Genomic DNA, 22,478 nt, shown 5'->3' on the forward strand with positions numbered 1-22,478 from the left:
CAAGGGCTTCATAGAAATTTCTAGAGGCTGCCTCCAGGGTGGGGGATCTGGGGAGCTTGAGACTCACTCCCAGGTTCCTCCCTCCAAACAACTCTGCCGTTTTCTGTCTCATGACTGGGCCTTCTCACAGGGCTGCCTTTGAGCTTATCAAATTGGAGACCCAGTGATCCGGCTCCAGCCTCTCATTTTACAAGTGAGGAGTTGCAGGCCACTGGTTAAGCGTGTCTGGCGCAAGGTGATGTGGTAGCTTAGGGCTGGTCTTCATGCGTTGTAGGCCTGCATTGCCTTTTAGTATATGAATCAGTTAGGAATATTGGCATTTTAACTTTAATGCCATTGTCACAAGCTATGTCACCATGCAGAGGACCCCCCCCCACCCATCCCAGGAAGCTGATCGAGGGTCTTTAAAGGGCTCTCTTTTGAGGGAAGGGGACACCTCAGAGCACCTGGCACTTGAAAAGATGAAAAGTAAGAGCCCCATCATTGCTGTTAGGCACACAAAGGAGGAGAAATTGCTGTGGGTGATCCCTGGTTGTATGAATATTGAGAAGAAATTAAGTAAAGGCTGTGTTTCCTGACACTGATGTATTAGAACATGGAGTAACTTTCTACAGGAAATTGGAACAGGGATCCCTTTAAATTGAATTTGAAGCTGTGAATAGCAAACCTGCACTTGGCCCTGTGTGTCCTAATGCAAGTTAAGTAAGCAGTTTCCTGGGTGAGAGTTAAGTACTTTAGGGATATGGGTTAATGTTGAGGCCAATGTGGCTCAAGTTAATAAATTGCCTCTCGCGTGTATTGTCTGTGAAGATGCAGAAGAGTAATTTGCTTCCTGCAGAGCTGCTCCAGAATTCTCATACTTAGTTTATTAGATTTTTGGCCCAATACATTTTTTCCCTCTCATTGGTTTTGTTGATAATAATTACTCACCCCCTTCCATCTCTCTATGGATTTCTCTTGGTTTTAATTGTTTTCAGTAGCCACAAAAGTTTACCATTTCAGAAAATAAGTGTTTTAAAATAAGAATAGTCTTGGCCAAACCCCATCTGAGTTTCCAGAGGGAGACAGTCAAAGCTCTATTGTTAAAGTGATTCTGGGGGCAGTGGCCACTGAGATTAGGAAAAAGCCAGCGCTCCCTTCGTCAAACACGTCAGTGCTCGTCCCTGGCCTAGGGAGCTCTCTGGGAACTGGCTTCCTGAGGTTTTTACATATGCTCTGGAATCTGGAGTGAGGGTGTATGCGTCAAGGGCCTCCCAGGGAGACGGTGGAGGATACAGAGGACCGGCTCCCCCATGCTGCTGGTGTTTAGTTCTTGACCCTGTGGGCTCAGGGGGTGGAGAGAACATCGAGAATTGTACCCACCACTAGGCACCATGTGAGGGGCCAGCAATACCTAGCTCACAGTCTAATAAATCAGTTAATTAACAGGGTAATTATAAGTTGCACAGTGGTATTTCCTGGGAAATGGAGAAAAATGGCTGGGTGGGTAGGGGAGAAGACAGCATGCAAGCTGAGGTTGGAAGCCTGAGGAAGACATGGGTCCGTCCTTGCACGGAGGACAGCCCGTGCCGAGGCTGAGAAGAGCTTGGTGTGTGGCAGGAGGTGGAATGCAAGGCAAGATTTGTCTTCAGATTATTCCTTATAAAGAGAGTGTTCACTTTATACTTGGGTCTTTTAGAATTTTCTTAAACTACAGGACACTCACTTTTGGATGCGAAGTTTAAGCAGATTTTTTTTTTTTTTTTTTTGATACAGAGTCTCACGCTGTCGCCCACACTGGAGTGCAGTGGTGCAATCATGGCTCACTGCAGTCTCTACCTCCTGGGCTCAAGCGATCCTCCTACCTTAGCCTCCTGAGTAGCTGGGACTACAGGTGTGCACCACCACGCCTGGCTAATTTTTGTATTTTTGGTAGCAATGGAGTCTCGTCATGTTGCCCAGGCTGGTGTGGAACTCCTGAGCTCAAGCAATCCGCCCGCCTCAGCCTCCCAAAGTACTGGGATTATAGGTGTGAGCCACCCTGCCTGGCAAAGCAGATCTTTTGATACTTTGTCCAGAACATAATTGGTTTCAAATATTTACCCATCACACATTTAAATAGTCTCTGGTAAGCCATTTAATGGTAGATCCATTCCTGAAGGCCATGTTGCTTTGTGCTAGGCTCAGACCCCAGCTTCCTAGCTCTGTGATGCTGGGCAAGCAACCCCAAGGTGCCTCTGTTTCCCCATGTGTAAAACAGAGAAAATAGTACAGAGGGTCTCATGCTCTTGGGTCACAATTCCCTTAGTGCCACTGTCACATTTTTCACAGCACTCCTAGGCCAAAACAAACAACTTAATTAACAGTCCTGTTTACTAAGGAGTGAGGACCAAACAACTTAAATACTTATGTTGTAACAACACCTGTTGGTTCTCAAACATTGGAAGTAGGTTGGATGCTGCCACCCTCATGGTCTGTTCCACATTGATTTTCACTTGCTTTTTGCTTTTTTTTTTTTTTCTCGAGATAGAGTCTTGCTCTGTCACCCAGGCTGGAGTGCAATGGTGCAGTCTTGGCTCACTGCAACTGCTGCCTCCCAGGTTCAAGCCATTCTCCTACCTCAGCCTCCCTAGTAGCTGGGACTACAGGCACCCGCCACCACACCCAGCAAATTTTTGTATTTTTAGTAAGACAAGGTTTCACCGTGTTGGCCAGGCTGGTCTCAAACTCCGGACCTCAGGTGATCCACTCACCTTGGCCTCCCAAAGTGTTGGGATTACAGGTGTGAGCCACCATGCCCTGCCTGGTTTTTGCTTTTTATCACGGCAACTATTGAAAACTCAGCTTTGCAGAGATATGATGTCATCTAAAGAAATGCAAAAAGATCTAATGTTGAATGTAATGTTGAAACCTCAGCTAGCAGTCTGCATGTTGTCTAGCAGATATTGCTGTTTCCCTTAAAATGGTAAAATATCCCAGCCTGGGCAACATGGGTGAAACCCCATCTCTACAAAAAATAGAAAAAATTTGCCTGGTGTGGTTGTGGGCTCCTGTAGTCTCAGTTACTCAGGAGGCTGAGGTGGGAGGATCACTCGAGTCCAGGAGTTCAAGGCTGCAGTGAGCCTTGATTTTGCCATCGCACTCCAGCCTGGGTGACAGAGTGAGACCCTGTCTCAAAAAAAAAAAAAAAAAAAAAGGTAAACTATCCCTTGGTGCGTTATTCGGGAACTGTGGTGATAGTATTGACGTGTTTGGTTTAGTGAAGATGAAGGAAATGGTGCACGGAAAGTGCTGAGGGCAGTGCTCGGTATTAGGTGCTCAGGAATCATTGTTGCCCTCAATCTCAAGGGTTCCCTTTAGTAGACCTAGAAACGTGTCTTTAGGAGTGGTGAAAACACGGCTCTTGGAGACGTCTAGGGAGAGGTGCATTTAGTTGCTTCATGAGATGACAGTGGAAATATACAGTCTTTCTGTGTTTTGTAGTAAGTGATTGTAAGTATGCATGTGCGTCTACGTTAATAAGTTAAACACAAATACAGACATCCAGTTGTTTCTTCAACGTCTCTACATGTATATGTGTTTAGGTATTTGTCTCTAACCTTTCAGTTGTGTTTTTAATCTTCTTGTTGGGAAAATGGGTAATGTCTCTGTGGTTTGCCTTATATTTGGGATATTAGCAAAGGGGAGAGTGTTTTGAGATGGGGTTGATGCCACAGGCAGGCCAGATCACGAAAGGCCCTGGTAGGACACAATAAGCCTTAAGGTTTTATTCAGAATGAAATGGAAAGCTGCTGAATGGTTTTGTTGTTGTCGTTTTTGAGACAGTCTTGCTCTGTTGCCCAGGCTGGAGTACAGTGGCGCGATCTTGGCTCACTGCAACCTCCACCTCCTGAGTTCAAGTGAATCTCCTGCCTCAGCTTCCCAAGTAGCTGGGATTACAGGCACCCACCACCAGGCCTGGCTAATTTTTGTATTTTTGGTAGAGACGGAGTTTCACCATTTTGGCCAGGCTGGTCCCAGACTCCTAACCTCAAGTGATCCACCTGCCTTGGCCTCCCAAAGTTCTGGGATTACAGGCATGAGTCACCACAACTGGCCTGAATGTTTTTAATTTTTAAAAAGGTAAATTAACTCTATGGAGATATAACTTAACAATAAAATGCAGCCCTGTAAGTACACTGTCAGATGAGTTTTGACAAACCTGTATACTTATGCAACCATCGCTCCAATCAAGGCACAGAACCTTTCCCCTGACCCACAGTGTTCTGGGTATCCTTTATCAGCCCATCTGTTAGTTCCACCCCCAACCTCAGCCCCAGGCAGCCACAGATCTGCTTCTCTCATTGTAGGTTGGTACAAAAGTAATTGCGGTTTTTGCCATTACTTTTTTTTTTTTTTTTGAGACGGAGTCTCGCTCTGTCGCCCAGGCTGGAGTGCAGTGCCACGATCTCGGCTCACTGCGACCTCCGCCTCCCGGGTTCACGCCATTCTCCTGCCTCAGCCTCCCGAGTAGCTGGGACTACAGGCGCCCACCACCACGCCCGGCTAATTTTTTGTATTTTTAGTAGAGATGGGGTTTCACCGTGTTAGCCAGGATGGTCTCGATCTCCTGACCTCGTGATCCACCCACCTCGGCCTCCCAAAGTGTTGGGATTACAGGCGTGAGCCACCGCGCCCGGCCTTGCCATTACTTTGAATGGCAAAAACCGCAATTACTTTTGCACCAACCCAATAGTTTTTCCTGTTCTAGAATGAAATATGTAAATGGAATCATGCAGGGCGTAGCCTTTAGTGTCTGACTTCTTTCACTTAACAGAATGTTTTTGAGATTCATCCACGTTCAGCCATTTATCCCTTTTTATTGCTGAGTAGTATTCCATTGCATGAAAATACCAGAATTTGTTTATCCATTCTTCTGTTGATGGACACATTTGATTTGTTTCTAGTGAGCCGTTAGAGGTAGTTCATTTTTTTTTTTTTTTGAGATAGAGTCTCACTCTGTCACTCAGGCTTGAGTGCAGTGGTGCAATCTTGGCTCACTGCAATCTCTGCCTCCTGGGTTCAAGTGATTCTTCTGCCTCCGCCTCCCTAGTAGCTGGGACTACAGGCGTGCACCACCACGCCTGGCTAATATTTTTGTATTTTTAGTAGAGACGAGGTCTCACTATGTTGGCCAGGCTCGTCTTGAACTCCTGACCTCGTGATCCGCCTGCCTTGGCCTCCCAAAGTGCTAGTGCTAGGATTACAGGCATGAGCCACCGCGCCCAGCCTAGAGGTAGTTCTTTTTTTTTTTTTTTTTTTGAGACAGTCTTGCTCTGTCACCCAGGCTGGAGTGCAGTGGTGCAATCTCGGCTCACTGCAGCCTCCGCCTCCCAGGCTCAAGCAATTCTCCTGTCTCAGCCTCCCGAGTAGCTGGGATTATAGACGTATGCCACCATGCCCGGCTAATTTTTGTATTTTTAGTAGAGATAGGGTTTCCCCATGTTGGCCAGGCTGGTCTCGAACTCCTGACCTCAGGTAATCTGCCCGCCTTGGCCTCCCAAAGTGCTGGAATTACAGGCATGAGCCACCGCACCCGGCCGCCTAGAGGTAGTTCTTAAATGAATGTTGGTGTGGACTGGACATGTTTTCATCTCTCTTAGGTACATATTTGGGAGTGGAACTGCAGGCTCATATGGTAATTGTGTATTCAGCTTTGTAAGAAACCACCTGCTTTGAGCAACGAGGTGACACCATCTTATTTACATCTTTAAAAGTTCCCTTTATTGAGGCTGAGGCAGGAGAATCGCGTGAACCCGGGAGGCGGAGCTTGCAGTGAGCCGAGATCGCGCCACTGCACTCCAGCCTGGGTGACAGAGCAAGACTCCATCTCAAAAAAAAAAAAAAGAAGAAAAAAAGGTCCCTTTATTTCTAGATGGAGAATAGGTCACGAGGGGCTGGGGTGAGAGCAGGGGGAGCAGCAAGGGGGCAGAGGCAGCTGTCAGGTGAGCAAGGCCAGTGCTTGCTGAGGATGATGGGGACAGTGAAGGGGCTAGCTCTCACGGATGGTTGGGGACAGGATGACTGAAGCTTGGTGATGAACTGGATGATGTTGGGAGTCAAAGATGATTTCAGGTTTTGGCTTAAGCTACTAAGGATGAGATGGTGCTACTCATGGAAAAGAGAAGACCCAGGAAGCTTTGAGCATGTTAACTTAATTTCTCTGAGGCTCACTTCTATTCTGTCCAGCAAGACAGGCAAAGAAATATTAGTTTTATTTCTAAACTAACCAGAGAAGGGGAGGAAATGGCTCAGATGGGCAATAGGCAGTCTAAAGTCATATGTGTATGGGAGGTACGTAGGCATGCTGGTCGTATGTGCACAGTACCTGCACAATTCTCCATGGGTCTGTCATATTTCTGCACAGTCTTCTGAGCAAGCCACGAACAGCTGATTTGCTCTGGCCTGTCTTTTCAAGGATGTTTGAATAGCAAGCAGCCTTGGAGAGTAGAGACAGCATCTCTATCTGGAACAGATTTATTTTTATTCCAGGATAACAAAGACAATGTCTCCCTTAGGAGCAGAGGTTGGGCAGGTTTACCAGCAGCTGCTTATATAAGATTGGGGCATCCTAATGTCAGGACTCCTCTCTGTAATGCATCCCACTGTGTGTACAGGTAACACCTTGCCTTCATGGGATCGCTATGGGAACTGGGGCTTAGGGAACTGGTGCAGCAGTGTTACCCTGGCTACTACTACTGCTGTGAGTAATAAACTGTTTTCAGTCTCTGACCCAGGGATCTCATGCCTTCTGCTAGTATGTATGAAGCTGTGGCAGGCTAACTTGGTAGTTTGCTAGCAGAGTACTGTCTCAAAGCCCACACAGTTCATGACAGTGCCTCTGGTTGCCAAGCACGATTGGCACAGCTGGTGTCCTCCCTGCTCTGCCGCTGTCCTTCTTTTCTTCTGCATCTCTGTCAGTGCACTGCCACCTGAATCTTTACTGAGCACCTAGTAGGTGTCAGGTCCAGGGGCAGCAGATAGAGTGGGAAGCCAGATATGGTTCTAGCCCTCACAGAGCACGTGTCATTCAGCCTCTGCTGTCCAATCAGCCACTGAGTTGTGACTTCTCTACTTAGAGGTAGTTCTTTATCAAATTCATCTCATTCCTCGCTGCCGTTTGGTTTCTCCCTGTGAAGGGTATTCATTTTCATGGTTGTTTTAAGAGTAAGAGGCAGTACAAGGGAAGTGCCTGGTATAGTTCCTGGTAATCGTAGATGCCCAAATTGTGACTACTGCTGTTGTAATTTCTATTATTACGTATTCTCAACTCTGATTGTCATTCCTTGATGTAAAAACTTTGCTGTTTGCCCTCATACTACAATACAGGTTGCAGCCCAAACAGTACGGGATGCAAACCAACCCATGTCACCGGCCCATTCACCCTGCCCCGATTTCTGTTCCTATCACAAACTGCCTGCTGTGTGCCTTGAATTCTTTCCAGCTCTTTCCCAAACATGACACACCCTTTTAGGCCTTTTCCCTTTCCTTCCTTCTTTTCAGGCAAAGTCTTCCTTATCCCCCTGGACTTGGCTCAAGGGTCCCCTTCTCTCTGTACCCATTCCTTGAGGTTGCCTTTCTCCCTTGTCTCCAGACTGCATAAATGGCAGTGTGGCCTGTGTTGCTGTAGCACCATGTGCACCTGGGCTGTGCCCCGGCAGTGTTCTGTCTTTGGGCTCACTGGGGAGGGAGCACTGGACCATCGTCCCCAGATGCCCAGGGAGAAGCTTGGTGCTCGTTACTGACTGTAGGGTACTTTTCTGTAGCAGGCACTTGGGGCTCACTTATGGGACCCAGTAACTTCACAGTCATGAGGTACTTGATTTGAACTGAGGAGAAAATGTGTCAATACCTTTCCCAGGGAGAGTCACCCTCACAAACCTTGGTCTGGAAGGCCCATCTTAGCCCAGGGGTGAGATCTTGCGTGGATGATTCAGAAGTCACAGTATTCCTGAAAACTAGTGACTCAACAGAATTATATGGCTTTGGGAGAAAGAGTCCCTCCAGGGGCAATCCAACTACCACAGGCCAGGGGCCAAGCTTTGGTGAGCCGAGCCTGGGCCCTGCCCCTCCCTTCTCTATGGGCCTAGGGTTGCTGTGCTGTGTGTGGCATGGCCAGAGTCCTCCGCTCATCTCCTCACCATCTGTTACTTGTGCGTGTCTCCTGTGCCAGGCCTGGTGCTGACACTAGCTCAGGGAGAGAGGCAGCCGTACCTGGAGGAGCTGCTTAGTAGGACACTTGGCACATGCCACATGCTTTGCAGACTTCTCAGTCTCCCAGCCACTCAGGGATTTGTGGGACTGAGTATCTCAGATCCAAGGTGGTCAGGCGAGGGTGCAGGGAGATGGAGCCATGTGTGGGGCCAGGCTCTTTCCCATGACCTAGGTGCCCCTTCCAACCCCCACCATCCTGTTAAGACCCTGAGCAGCCAGGCTGGTTGCTCCAGCCACTCTTCCCTGGTGGCTCCCCTTTCCAGTTCTGAGGCTACTGCGAGTCACCTTCCTCCTCCAGGGAGGGAGAGAGCTGCCTGAGCATTACCTCTGCTTGCGGATGGGGGTGCTAGAGACCGAGCCTTTTCCTTGTTGTCTCTGCCAGTGAGGCTCTGGAGAGTGAGTCAGGAATACAGCTGCACAAATCGCCCTTACTTTGATACTGTGTGATTGGTCTGCAAGACAGACACAGGGCTGACATCGCATTTTCTGCCTGACTTCTTCCTGGCTGCAGTGACCCTGAGCTGTTCCTAGCCTTCCATCGTTTCTGTTGTGGACAGGCGTGTCATGCTGCCCCTGTTCCTCCTGCCCTGGCCTGGCTACTTAGGCTCTTGTGCATGTGCTCATAGGTTCTCATGAAGGTTGTTCTTAGTTTGCTTATGTCTTTTTTTTTTTTTTGAGACGGAGGCTCGCTCTGTCGCCCAGGCTGGAGTGCAGTGGCACCATCTCAGCTCACTGTAACCTCTGCCTCCTGGGTTCAAGCAATTCTCTTGCTTCAGCCTCCTGAGTAGCTGGGATTACAGGCACCAACCACCACGCCTGGCTAATTTTTGTACTTTTAGTAGAGATGTGGTTTCACCATGTTGATCAGACTGGTTTCGAACTCCTGACCTCGTGATCCACACCCCCCACTCAGCCTCCCAAAGTGCTGGGATAACAGGCATGAGCCACTGTGCCCTGCCTTCTTACGTCTTATATCCACACTGCCTGTGATTTTGTACATGATACACACAATGTCACCTAGCACTGGCCTTTCTGACTTTCATGCAACTATTGAAAGTGAAAAATTTGGCCGGGCACCGTGGCTCATGCCTGTAATCCCAGCACTTTGGGAGGCCGAGGTGGGCGGATCACGAGGTCAAGAGATGGAGACCATCCTGGCCAACACGGTGAAACCCCTTCTCTACTAAAAATACAAAAATTAGCTGGGCGTGGTGGTGCACACCTGTACAAGTCCCAGCTACTTTTGGGAGGCTGAGGCAGGAGAATTGCTTGAACCCGGGAGGTAGAGGTTGCAGTGAGCCAAGATTGTGCCACTGCACTCTAGCCTGGCGACTGAGCGAGACTCCGTCTCAAAAAAAAAAAAAAGGTGAAAAATTTGCACAACAGCACAGTAGTGCAGCCTGCCAGTCTCAGCCACAACGGTCAGGGTCTATGCTAAGGTGAGTTTATGGGACATCCCTGGGAGTTTGGGGTGGCGGTGGCGGGGGGGGGTCCTACTCACGCCACACCTACTCCGGGAGGGACCTGGCATTGGACTCAGGTTGCCAGGCAGGGGTGTGGAGTGGTCCCTACACCCACAATTCCTGTGACTCCCATTGTCTCACCTGAGACCCTGGCCTTGAAATGATGGGCTCTAAGTAAGTTCTATTTCTAGGCCGGGCGTGGTGGCTCACGCCTGTAATCCTAGCACTTTGGGAGTCCAAGGTGGGCGATCACCTGATGTCAGGAGTTTGAGACCAGTCTGGCGAACATGGGGAAACCCCATCTCTACTAAAAATACAAAAAAAATTAGCTAGGTGTGGTGGTGCACACCTGTAATCACAGCTACTTGGGAGGCTGAGGCAGGACAATTGCTTGAACTCTGGAGGCGGAGATTGCAGTGAGCCGAGATCACGCCACTGCACTCCAGCCTGGGCGACAGAACAAGACTCCATCACAAAAAAAAAAAAAAAAAAAATTTATTTCCCGTCTCCACAGGGGTCTCTCTGCGGCTTCCTGGGGCCTCGCTCCTTCCGCCTACCTCTTTCTTCCTTCTCCTGCTGTCTACCCTGTGATGTGATAGCTTTCTCGGGGAGTGTTCAGATGAACAGTGTTTAGAATTGTTGAATGCTCTGTTGGAAAACAGAAAAGGCTATTTCATGAGCAGATGATGACCTTATTAACTATAATTAGGCAATTCACAGAGGCTTCCAATATAGTCCAGCATCTTTTCTTGTTGAGATGGGGGGAAAATTCTATGGTAATGTCTTTGGAGATGTAATAGTCTTTATCACATTACTAGTTTAAATTATTCTAGAAGTTTTGGCAGCCTGGTGTTTTCATTTAGAAAGCCGAGGTATAGTTTTACAGTTAGCCACATTAATATAATAATTATAATTTTGAGCAAGTAATTTCAGACACTGACATCAAGAGTTGTTTTTATAGCAGAGAAAGATCACAGGTAGGAAGGTGGAACCTCGCGTCTAATCTATCTAATCTGTCACAAATAGGATGATGTTGTGAACACAGGCAGTTCATGCCCCTGGCCCATGCTTTATATTATGGGACAGAGATGCAAATGCTTAGAAACTCCCCCTGTATTAAATCCCCAGAGAACACGCACATTTGAAATTAATGGGAAATTGTCTTTTCTAAAGAATTTGGTATGCAGGGGCACATGATGTGGAATTTCCCCTGGGTTCTTTGTATCAGGTTGCCCCATTGCCTTGGGCTTGTGTGAGAGTGGACCTGGGAGTGAACGGGTGCTCGCAGGGCCCACCTGGTGGTCAGTCTGTAACTGTGGCTATGAGCAGCCTCCCACCCTGTAGGCCCCTCACAAGGCCTAGTTGCCTGGATCTCCAGGGGCATCTGGAAGCCTGGAAGCTACTGTCTCCTGGGCAAGGAGGCCTTCACTGCCTCCACAGCCCCCATCTGCACATGGGCCGCAGGCCCTGGCAACCCCTTCCCCCACTTCCCTCCACTGGCTTGGACCTCCAGGCCCACAGCAAGTAACTTTTGGTTTGTGTTTTACCTTTCACTTGTAAGCACATTTTTTTTTTATCGTTCTATAGGGATTTTTCATATATCATTTTGGATCCTGTTTTTAAAGCTCAGTATCCCTGTTTTTACAGCCTTCAGGATAGTCATCTTCTATCATGTGGTTGTACCACAATTTGCTAGTTGTATCCCTGTTGCTGAACATTGAGCTTTTTATTCCAGCAGGTTTTTTATTGTTGTTTTATAGGCAGTGCTGCAGTGATCATCTTTATGTACATAATATTTAGCTTCTGTGCAGTTAGTTTCTTAGACTCTATTGCTAGGGTTGGAATTGCTAGCCAAGACTAAGAATAACTTTTTAAAAATATATTAAAATCTTCTTATAGTAATAATATTTGAAGAACAGAAAAAGGTAGAAAAAGGAAAATAAAGATGCCCAGCTGTCCCATGATGTGGTGTTCACCACTGTATTAGCTAGGAGTGTATGAGGCTGCAGATAACAGGAAACCCAACTCGAGTGGCTTCAACAGGTGGAGAGAGACTCGTTTGTCTCAGGGAACAGGAGACTTGAGAGAGAGTCCAGGGCTGGACCCAGGTGAAGCCATGCTGTGAGCGACCCTGGCTGTTTGCATCTTTCTGTCCCACTGTCCTGGATGTTGCTGGCCTTTGTCTATGCTATGCTTTCCTCATCTCAGTCTTCCTTTCTTACCTCTGGCTGGATGAGTCTTTTTATTTCTGTCTGCTGAAACAGTGTATCTCCTGCATTTGGGTCATTATAAGAAGAAATATGATTATTTTTCCTGCATGTCCCTCGTCTGCAACTGCCTGTGTTTGTGACATTCCATTCGGCCAAAACTGGAATTTTAACAGTGTCCAGACAGAGAAGAGGAAGAGTAGGCATCAGGACTAGGAAAGAGCTCCTCTTTCTTATTAATGGGATAGTCTTTCATCCCTGTGTTTCAAGTTCACAGAGTCCCTTGGGTTAGAAAATATCCTTTGCTCTCTCCTTGATTCCTATGAACCAGAGAAGGGGACAGAATCTTCCTGGGCTTATTGGTCCCCCAGTCAGTCTTGCAAAGGGAGGTTTATTGAGCACTTACCATATGCAGCAGGGGGTTGTGAGCCACAGTCGTGGCCTTTGGGAAGCTCACAGAAGAGGGGAGGAAGCAGGCTGACTTACCCCTGCCCTATCACACTGTTACCCTTGTGTCAACCAAGCTTAACCTTGGCTGAGTAGAAATGAGTGATTTGTGACCTATGTTAATCCTACAGAAAAGAACAAAAAAATAAAATAAACTTCCATAGATGCACCACCAGGTTTTAGTTATTAGCATTTTTCCGTATTTATACTGGGTACCTCTTTTTTGTTTTGTAAGGAATGAAATATGGCAGATAGAGCTAAAACCCTACTTCATTCCCTTTCCATTAGTGGCCACTCCCCTGACGTTGGTGGGCATGCTTTTAAATGTTTCCTGCATATGTTATGAATGACATAAATAATATGTAATACTTTTGTATTTTAAAGGTTTATGTACATGTTATTACACTCTGTGGTTTTTTGCAATTTGCAAAACAGTCAACATTATGTTTTCTGTTATCTCTCTATCCATCCATCCATCTATCCATCTGGTTCATTCAATTTTCATTGGTGTGTGGGATTCCACTGTATAAATAAGCTCAAGTTTATTTACTCATTCTCCTACTCCTGGAAGGTTGTTTTTACTTTTTGTCTCTTGCATACAATATTGTAGTGAACATGTGTTCCAGTTTTTTATTGCTGTTTAATAAGCCACCTCTAAACTTAGTAGCTTAAAACAATAATGTTTATTTTGCTTCTGAATCTGCAGTTTGGGCAGGGCTTGGTGTGGGCAGCTCATCTCTGCTCCACTTGGTATCATGTGGGGCAGCTCAAAGGCTAGAAATGGAAGCATCTGCAGGTCTGTTCGCTCAGCATCCGATGAGTGATTCTGGCTGTCTGCTGGGACCCTGGCTGTGCTGTTTGCTGGAGTATTACATGTGGCCTCTCCATGTGGTCTGGGCTTCCTCATCCCATGGCAGCTGGGTTCTAGGGGCTAGTGTTCTGAGAGGCCCCTATACTGAAACCAGATTGCTCTGTGACCCAGCCTCAAAGGCAGGCAGCATCTGTTGACTTCATTCTGTTCTTTGGAAGCAAGTCACTGAGGCTGCCTCCCATTCAGGGCAAGGGAGATTGGACTCCACCTTCAATGGGACGAGCCTCACAGAGTTGGTAGACCTGTTTTCATACTGGCATTTATAGATGTACATCCTTGTACACCCCTGTGAAAGCTTCTGGGGCTGGGACCCCTCATGGTGACTTGACGGGCCTTCATGATGGCCCTCTTTGACGCGACCACATGTTGCCAGCTTCCCCTCCTGAGTATTTGTTCCGTGGACGCCCACCAGCGTACTGAGCGTTCCCATTTCTTCACACCCTCTCCATCATTTGCTGTTAGGGATTTTGATTTTTTGCCCCTCTGGTGGGTGTGAAATAGGATCTTATTGTTTTAATTTGCCTGCCCACTGGCGAGGCCAGGCCCTGTGCTCCATCCTGGGGGTGGTGTTTTATTTCCTTTCCCAGCTGGGTGCCCTAAAGAAGACAGAAACGTCAAAGTGCTATTTTTTGGCTTATGATGTCAATTTTTCAGGATTGAAGTGGCGAGCGTCCCACAGAGTTTATTGCAAACTATTATGAAGGTCTTGGAGTTACTGTTGGTATGACTCATTTATGAAAAAAATATGATTTCAGTAACTGCAGGCTGTATTTGTAATGTGATAGATTTTCATTTAATCTCTCACCTCTCTATAATTTGCCCAATTTAAAAATGCCCTGAAGCTTGCTTTCTCTTTGTCTGGGAGCCCTGTTCTTGGTATGTGTTATTACAATAATAGTAATAAGAAATTGTGCCAATATGTGTCTCTCTTCCAGCTCTTGCTGTCTCCTTGGTCATTTAATTACTTCTGGTACTGATTTCCCCCAGCCTGATCTCCCCTGTTATAATAGCGTGTGCATGAAGCTTCTGTGGAGAATGCCACTGAGGATGGAAGCTGTCGGTGGTTGGCAGGCCCCAGTGTGGGCATACCTGGACCCACGGGCTGGCTGTGGGCTTCCTCCTTGGGCCACATAGCACCCAATTAGTCAGACACACCTTATTCCGATCGTACTGTGAGGTTGTAGAGGAAAGTCCCTTCAGATCCTGGCACAAAGGCTGGCATTGGGGAGTGTTTAGGAAACGTGTTGAACCAAATAATTCAAAATGTTCGGTTATTATAATTATCAAGGTAACCTGCTGACGTCACTCAAAAACATCTGGAAAATAGCCATGTCAGATCAAGAATTTTATGATGAATTTCCTCGAAAACGGAACTTTTGACTACTTTTAATTTAATCTGGTTCCATCTGAACACTCTGAACACTATTTGCAGCGTGCTGGAGAACATTATCTTCTCTGCTTCCCTCCTAAGGGGTGTTTGGATTCTTATCTGTGTTGAGAACCAGAGCCTGTGCTGCGGAAATGAGATCTTGTCTGTGCACTGAGTCAGCCCAGGTCTTTTGCAGGCACTCAGGAAGCAGCATCTACATCTTGAGGGGCTACTTTTCTGGATTGTGTGGGTGCAGCGTGTCCTGAAAACATCACTGGGCACTGCTGTCCATACCTTATGATGGGGCACGGGCCACTCCAGGAGTCTCAGGTGGCACAGCTGCCCAGGATGGGCTTGGTGCTGGTCCCAGGGAGGCAGATGACACGTGTTGCCCCTCAGAACAGTGGGGACAGCCAGGTGTGCCACAGGCCATCTCGCAGGGCCTCCCTGTACCAACCAGATTGGGTATAAACAAGGCATTCATTACCTGTTGTTTTAAGGGGAGGAAGGCACCACGGGCGAGGCCTCCCAGGCTGGCTGGGTGAGTGTTCCTGAGCCCAGGCACTTCGATGCCCACACTACTTCCAGGGAGCTGAGTTTCAGAGCCTGTGGCGTTTTCACACCATGTTCTAGGTGCCAGCAGAAGTCTAACAAGGAGCAGGGCATTAGCCTCTGTTTCCATGACAGACTGTTCACAGCCTCACAGTTTGCATCCCGTGTAAACAAACATCAGCACCTGTTATCCTAATTAAACCTCAGACCTTGTTTGCATGTTAAGAGTTAGCAGGACAATCCTTTGCTACTGGGGACCCGCCACTGACCCCAGGGCTTTCTTGTATCAAGAGGAACAAAATGGCATGAGATTGGGACCTGGGAGCAGGCCCCACACCAGGTGTGACATGCCTGTGCTCAGCCAAGGGGTTTAACTGCCTGTGGAGTCTGGGGCCCAGGGCCCTGCTGCCTGTCCAGTGTTTGCGTGGGAATGTCTTGGGCCTGGGGATGTAGAGCCCAGGTTCTGGGACCAGCCCTTCCTGCCCTGGTGTCTTGGTTTCCTAGAATCTTGGTGCGATTCGGTGGTTAGGCTGATCTCAGGGTTCCTTTCAGCAGCAGTGGCAGCCGTGACCACCTACTATGGACCAGCTTCTGCCAGGCACCTTGTAGTCTAGCAGAGTAAGTTTGATCATTCCATTCCACTGACAAGGAAACTCAGGCTCAACAAGGTGATGCCTTTCCCAGGACATGTGCTCCTGTTGCCCTGCCCCTCCTGGCATAATATCCCACTTCCTGCTTGGTGGCTCAGGCCTGTCAGTCACACAGCTCGTGGCTTCCCCATGAAGCATCTCTTGGGTCTGTCTGTTTCTCTCTTCATCCACACCTTCCTGGCCCAGGCTACCATCATATCTTGCCAAGACAAGTGCAGCAGCCTCAGAAATGTTCTCCCCTGCCTCCCCTTCATGCCCCCAGGCAGCCAGGATTTTTCTAAAAACTGTGCACCTGGGTGTGTCCCTTGCTGGCCCCATGGCCTGCAGGGCTCAGGATCAAGTTCCTCTTCCTTGATGTGGGTCCTGGGTCCTTGGAGGCTGGTTGTGTCAGCCCTTCTCCATCCTACCTCCCTTAATGTGCACATCCTGTCACCCCATGGGCCTAAGCTGTAACGGGGCAGGGCTGTCACTTGCACTGACTCATTCCAGTGCCCAGCACAGGGGTGGCACACACCCAGGAGTAGCTGTTGGGTGGATATACAAATGTTGCCATAGGTTGCAGAGCTAAAAATTAGGGAGGCTAGGATTTGGACCTACATTTGCTATATTCCAAAGCCCCTGCTCTTTCTACTCCTTCCCCTAGACTGTGAAATATGTTTGATGGGGAAAGATACCCGGGACAGAACCCGACTTTTGCACGTTACAGTAGAGGTCCCTGGCAGCCCAGCTCTCCTAAACATGAAGCTCATCAGGCAGCACCGTCGGACGCTGATGGTGGGGGCTGGGCCCTGTGCTGACACAGGCTCAGCAGGCTGTTAATGAGGTCCTGACAAGCTTTCGTTTTGAAGGAGTTCTCAAAAATGACAGGTTTTATTTCAAGGGTCTTTGTTAATCTAATAGTTTTCCCTGGCTGAAATTTGTGGACTGTTTACCAAAGCTCTGGCATGTGATGACCTAGGGACAGAATTAAAGCAATTTCAGCTTGGTTTCAGGCACAGATATGCAGCCAGGGAAATCACCTGGGGCAAGCTGACCCTCAACATGAGGCAAGGGGTATTCAGTGGGGCCAGGGCGAGACCCTGGGCCTTGCGAGGACGCCGTCCTGACATTTCCACCCCAAATGGGATTTGCATAAGCCCAAATGAGTGCAGGGTTATTCTCCGCACGCCGTCATCGTGAATATGCATTCCACAGCTTCACATGGGGTAGTTTAAAAAATTAATAGATATGTCCTTTATTTCTCTCTCTACAAGCCAAAGCTTGGAATTAATTTTTTCTGGCCCACTAACTCTTGTGGTTAAAAGTACAAATTAAGTTTTCTGGGAGAATCCATCACAAAATTATTGAAAAGTCAGTGTAGAGAAGATAATGGGCTCTGTATTGGGTTATGTCTGTAGGGTTATTGTTTTCTGCAATTACACTTTTCTTTGTTTTTCTTTTTTTGTGCTTTGGGAAATCAACCTGAGAATGGGCTTCCAACTCGGAAGAGTTATTGGCTACTTTTCCCAAATGGGATTGCCCTTCCAAAGAACTGTGGGCATCTGTTTGACAACAAGTTATAAATTTGTGTTCCAAGTTCTCTGAAGAAAGCATGAATCTTCGACAATGGCACTGTGGCACTGTATTTCAGGCAGGCGTGCAGAGCTGTCAAAAGTCAATAAAGTACTCAGACGCCTGCGTGCGCCCAGCCCACATTTGTCAAGTGTTCTCCGCGTATTTTGCGCAGGATTGGAAGGCGGATTAGAGCCGAGTTCTCCAGAGCTCTTCACTCTGCCCCTTCCCTGAGCCCCACAGCTATCCTAGAATGGGATCTGTTGGAGCCTCTGGAGCAAGTTTCCTGGTCCCAGAGTCCGGCTATCCATCTTTCCCATGGAAGAGGAAGACTGCTGCCCCCCAGCCCCACCCCATTTACTGAGAACCTGCTAGGTGCCAGGCATTGTGCAAGGCAACCGGGCACAGAGAAACAAAAGATACGCCCCTGCCCCAGCAATGCCGCCTGGTATGGGTGCTGCCCTGCCATTAGCTATCCCAGCCCTAGGAAACTGCCAGCTGGGGTCCAGTGTCTATTACTTGTGTGGTGGTTTCTCTAGTGGCAGCTAGTGAAATCTCAGGCAGAGGGGTTTCATACATGAGCTGATCACTCGGGGGCTTGCTTAAAACCCTTCAGCAACTCCCCCTTGGTCTCCAGATAAAAGCCCGGTCCATCAATGTGTCTTCCAAGGCCTTCTGGAACCTGTCCCTGCCACCTTGGGGCCCTCCTCCTCCTCCTCTCTGCTGCTCTGGCTATGTGGAGCCGTGCTGTCCTTCACCCTGCCTGGCCAGCCTTCACCTGTGCCTGTCCTCTGCCTGGGACATTCCTTCCTCCTACTCTCTTCTTCAGCTTCATCCTTCCTGACTTTGTGAGACAGCCCTTTTCCCACGAAGCCCTCCATGCCCCCCAGCTGCATTAGATGCATCCACCAGTGTGCTCCCACTGCCTCTCAGTCTCCTCTCTTGCAGCACTTATCTGTCCCGCTCCAAATGTATCCCGTTCACCATGGGGCAGGGGCCTGTGTGTCTTGCTCACTGCATTGTATCCCCAGCTTGATCACAGTCAGCAGGGTGCAGTAGGCACTTTGAAACATTTGCAAAGTGACACACGGTGCCTTGGAGGAAGGTGCCATCTCTGTGAGGCAAGAGTCCTGGTGCCGAGTAGGTGCGGGCCTTGGAGGCCACCAGTGTGCTAATGGCAGGTGTCCAGGCAGGAGCCGGGGGTGACGTGTGGGTGAAGGATGTGCTGTGGGGTCCCGTCATCACTTGCTTTATTAAGCTGGTTGTATCACTTGACATCTTTCACCACTGAAGGAAATAGAGCTTGTTTTAAGGTACAAATTCAGGGGTGTCTGGGCTGTGAGAGAAATAGCTTCTGGCAGGAGTGCTGGGTTGATGGGCACCTTTGCCACCACCCCACCCATTGCCCAGGCAGGGACAGGAGGCCAGAGCTGGGGAGGGGCTGGAGCCCTGGCCTCCTGGCTCTCAGTGGCTCTCAGTGTCAGGAGATGACTCCCTCTGCACCCCTGCTGTTTCTCCTGGTGATGTGGTGCTGGAGTGGGTTTCTCTGGCCAGGACAGCCAGTGGAGGCCTTGCAGCGACTGCCGTGCCCTCAGGCTGAGGCTCCTTCTACGAGGCTGGAAGCCTTTTCCTCCTGAGACCCTAACACGCTCCCTTTCCTTTCCTTTTTGAGGGAAGCCAGGTTCCCTGCAGCAGGGCCTCATCACAGTTCCCCCTGGAGCATTCACGCAAGGTCACTTTTCCCATCTGAGGAAACGTTTGTCGTGTGCTCCGACCGAAGCGTTGGCACTGACCCGTCTAGAATTCTGTGTGCGGAGTGGAGGTGAGATGCTGAGGCTGTGCCTCAGCCTATCTTGGGTCCCCCTCTGCCTACAGGCAGTGAGTGTGGCCTGGGAGGCAGGTGGCCCTGTGGGGTGACTGAGCTGGGCGTTGTCCTTTCCTCTTCCTGGTGTGTGTAGCGAGCCTGGTCAGAGCATGGCGTCTGGAGTCAGGCGGCCTGGCTACGGGTCTTGGGTCTGCCACTCACCAGCCTGGTGTGGGCAGCCATTTTAGCCTTTCTGGGCCTCAGCGTCCTCCTCTGTGGATGGGGGACAGTGCCTGAGCGCCGGGGGCTGCACATGGTGCCTGTCTCTCTGCGTTCTTAGTGGAGGTGGCCCCTGTGGTGGTCCCTGTTGATGCCGACCTGCTAGCCTGCTCCATGCTGTCCAGGAGAGTACTGGGGCCTTGCCAGCGGAGCCCCCTCTTCCCTGGTCTTATCCCTCGGAGGTGCTCTGCTGAGAGCTGCCCCTGTGAGGAGCCATTTCACTTCTTTCTTCAAGTGGATGTATTTTTGAACATTTGATACCTTCTTTCAAAAGTGCTGTACCTTCGCTTTTATTCTACTTTGAATGTAATTTAGTTGCACATTCATATTTAAAATCTCATATGAATTAATTTCATGAAATTGGTTTGTTTTTCTTCTTCCATTTCATGAAGCAATATCACTCAAGCTCCTCTTGCGTCTTTGGCACCAGAGGCGTCATCCCCCGAGCCACTCTGAGTCATCTAATATGGTTTCCCGAGCGTGTCAGCTTCACTTCACATAAGTCATTTCAGATCCTGCACTTATTGAATCAGTGCATACTGCTGTCACTGGGAAGTTTCCACTGTGCCGTAGATACTCGTTTGTAACATTTTAGAACATTTTCTTCCATTTGGCACTTTGTGTTTTGTCCCCCGGGTTTTGATCTAGGCTGCAGAACAGGACCTGTCCTGACTCCGTGCTCAAAGTGCTGAGTGACCCTGTGCTCCACTGAAGTTGCTCCATCCACCTTCTAGAACTCTGACGCCAGCTTGTCATCAGCTTCTCGTTTCCTTGGGAGATGGGGTGGTGCAGCAGAGGCCAGCCTGCCGTGGGGAGGTGGGCTGTGTGTGCTCCCATCCCTATGAGGCTAACAGGAGACTTACCTATAAGCAGGCATGCAGGACCTGGAGTGAAAGAAAGAGGAGAAGAAGTTGCCTCCTTGGGCCAAGGGGCTAAGGTGGCTCAGGATATGTCTGTTCATCTTATATCGGAGCCCACTGTTCATCTGCCCTGAGGCCTTTAATCACCAAGACCCCAGTGGCTGGGGGAAGGCCTAGGCAGTCCTATACATACAGCTTCTGAGAACGTCAGAAAATCAAGGATTCAACCCCATAATATAGGTGACACTGCTTGTCTTAGTCTGCTTGGACTGCCATAACAAAATACCCTAGACTGAGTGGCCCACACAATAGATAGTTTATATTCTCCCAGTTCTGTAGACTGGAAGTCCAAGGTCCAGGATCAGCCAGCAGCATTGGTGTCAGGTGTGGGCTTTCCCCTTGGGTTGCACACAGCCACCTTCTCCACTATGTGCACACATGGCCTTTCCTTGGTGTGTGCGTGCTGCTGGGGTGGGGCGGTGGGGGCAGGGAATTGGGGCAGGGAGAGAGAGGGCTCTTATGTCTCTTCCTGTAAAGATAGTAATCCTGTTGAATCAGGGCCTAACTTATATGACCTCATTTAGCCTTCCTTCCTTCCTTAGAAGTCCCATCTCCAAGTGCAGCCACCTGGGGAGTTAGGGCTTCAACATATGAATTTTGGGGAAGACACATCCATGACACCCCTAGTATGCTGCCTGACACATGGCAAGTGCTCAATGAATGTTTGTTATATTTGAATCTGAAAGGTTCCAGAAAGATGAGATGGACTTGGCCCCAGAGGCTCTAGGCAAATCTTGCAGACCAAGGGGGCCTGGTGTGTGTGTGTGTGTGTGTGTGTGTGTGTGTGTTCCCGGGAAGGCACATCCTAAGCTTGGCCTGCTGGCTCTGGCTGGTATGTTGGGTATAGACTGGAGATGAGCTCCACCTCTGCCCAGCCAGTCAGAGTCACCTCCGGACCTCCTGCTTCCTGATCTCCTCAGCCCTTTGGGGAAATGGAGGAATTGTGACATTTGCCCTAGGTGATGGGGTGCTGCTACTGGGGCCATATACCATGAAGCCGAAATTCCTAGTCTGTTTATTCATAATAATACCTTATAGCTGAGTAATGAAAGCTGCATGAGAGCAAGGAGAGTGTTTTATCATCAGCACGTCAGATGGCGCCTGGCACAAAGTAGGTGCTCACTCATTGGGTGTTGGATTTAATTAAAATAACGGCTAGTCTTGATGTGCAAAATGGCTTCATGTACTGATAACCTCGTACCTTATGCCAGGCAGGACTGTGGTCCCTGTTTGCAGATGAGGACACTGAGGCACAGTGGGAACCAGCGGCTGTTATAGGTGACCCAGTGAGGGAGGCTGCATCTCGATAGGCTGTGGGGAAGGGATGGTGGAGATGCAGGAAGCCCATGCTGACGTGCGGAGTGGGCCTGCACAGATGAGGCTTGCTTCGTGCTCCCCAGCCTGGCAACGTGGACATTTCTGGCTGTCGAGAAGGGGCCTAAGAGGTGCCCACTCCCCTCCTTGTGGGTCATTTCATCCACCAACTCCTGCGGTGCCAGAGGTGTCCTCTGGCCTCAGCCTGCAGGAATAAATCGCTGGTGAAGGGCTTCCTTCTGGCCTCATCGTTGGCTTCTATGTGGCCGGCCTTCAGTAGGTGTTTCCTGAGTGAGTCGATGGAAGGACACATTAACCACACTTACAGATTGAAATCAATGCCCTTTCTGCTCAGCTAGCTAATCTATCACTCTCTTTGGCCCCTGACATTTATTATGAAGTGTGTTCTTATTTTATTAGTATGGCTAATTAATGGATGACATTAAAATATTGACATGAATTGATTTGAGTATCTGTATCCTTGGAGCTTCAGTTAATAAAATAACTTTTGATAAGACTAGTGGTTTTAGAACATTGAGACTTAATTATATTTTCTAAAGGATTTCTCTAGAATCATATAACTGCTTGGCAAGGTACTTTAATTCCCTAGTTAACCGAAAGAAATTGGTTTTTCGTTTGATTTTGCTAAATACAAATTAAAAGTAATATACATTTGATAAAAGCAGTTAAAGGATTATTTATAAAAGCCTCCTTCTTTATATATTCGGAAATAATCCATAAGAACTGAATTAATATTGAGGATGATATGCAGAGAATATGACAGTTGGAGAGCCTGTTTGGCCTAGAGAAATATGCATG

The 22,478-nt window shown here is 48.6% G+C and overlaps 1 protein-coding gene across 6 annotated transcripts in view, besides 5 other annotated features; it reads left to right on the plus strand.

Annotated features, from left to right (window-relative positions):
* WDR25 (WD repeat domain 25) overlaps window positions 1–22,478 on the plus strand; it is a 153,819-nt gene that overhangs the window by 32,568 nt on the left and 98,773 nt on the right. The window lies entirely within an intron of this gene.
* Window positions 814–1,315: an enhancer, noted in NCBI's record as "H3K27ac hESC enhancer chr14:100876203-100876704 (GRCh37/hg19 assembly coordinates)". NCBI's record gives its function as "activates a minimal SCP1, AML or CMV promoter by ChIP-STARR-seq in primed H9 embryonic stem cells {active_cell/tissue: H9 hESC(primed)}" and the evidence as "EXISTENCE:reporter gene assay evidence [ECO:0000049][PMID:30033119]".
* Window positions 1,316–1,815: an enhancer, noted in NCBI's record as "H3K27ac hESC enhancer chr14:100876705-100877204 (GRCh37/hg19 assembly coordinates)". NCBI's record gives its function as "activates a minimal SCP1, AML or CMV promoter by ChIP-STARR-seq in primed H9 embryonic stem cells {active_cell/tissue: H9 hESC(primed)}" and the evidence as "EXISTENCE:reporter gene assay evidence [ECO:0000049][PMID:30033119]".
* Window positions 10,578–11,079: an enhancer, noted in NCBI's record as "H3K4me1 hESC enhancer chr14:100885967-100886468 (GRCh37/hg19 assembly coordinates)". NCBI's record gives its function as "activates a minimal SCP1, AML or CMV promoter by ChIP-STARR-seq in naive and primed H9 embryonic stem cells {active_cell/tissue: H9 hESC(naive and primed)}" and the evidence as "EXISTENCE:reporter gene assay evidence [ECO:0000049][PMID:30033119]".
* Window positions 11,080–11,579: an enhancer, noted in NCBI's record as "H3K4me1 hESC enhancer chr14:100886469-100886968 (GRCh37/hg19 assembly coordinates)". NCBI's record gives its function as "activates a minimal SCP1, AML or CMV promoter by ChIP-STARR-seq in naive and primed H9 embryonic stem cells {active_cell/tissue: H9 hESC(naive and primed)}" and the evidence as "EXISTENCE:reporter gene assay evidence [ECO:0000049][PMID:30033119]".
* Window positions 18,225–18,889: an enhancer, noted in NCBI's record as "H3K4me1 hESC enhancer chr14:100893614-100894278 (GRCh37/hg19 assembly coordinates)". NCBI's record gives its function as "activates a minimal SCP1, AML or CMV promoter by ChIP-STARR-seq in primed H9 embryonic stem cells {active_cell/tissue: H9 hESC(primed)}" and the evidence as "EXISTENCE:reporter gene assay evidence [ECO:0000049][PMID:30033119]".

The sequence above is a fragment of the Homo sapiens genome, chromosome 14 (assembly GCF_000001405.40).
Source record: "Homo sapiens chromosome 14, GRCh38.p14 Primary Assembly".
Classification (NCBI taxonomy): Eukaryota; Metazoa; Chordata; class Mammalia; order Primates; family Hominidae; genus Homo; species Homo sapiens.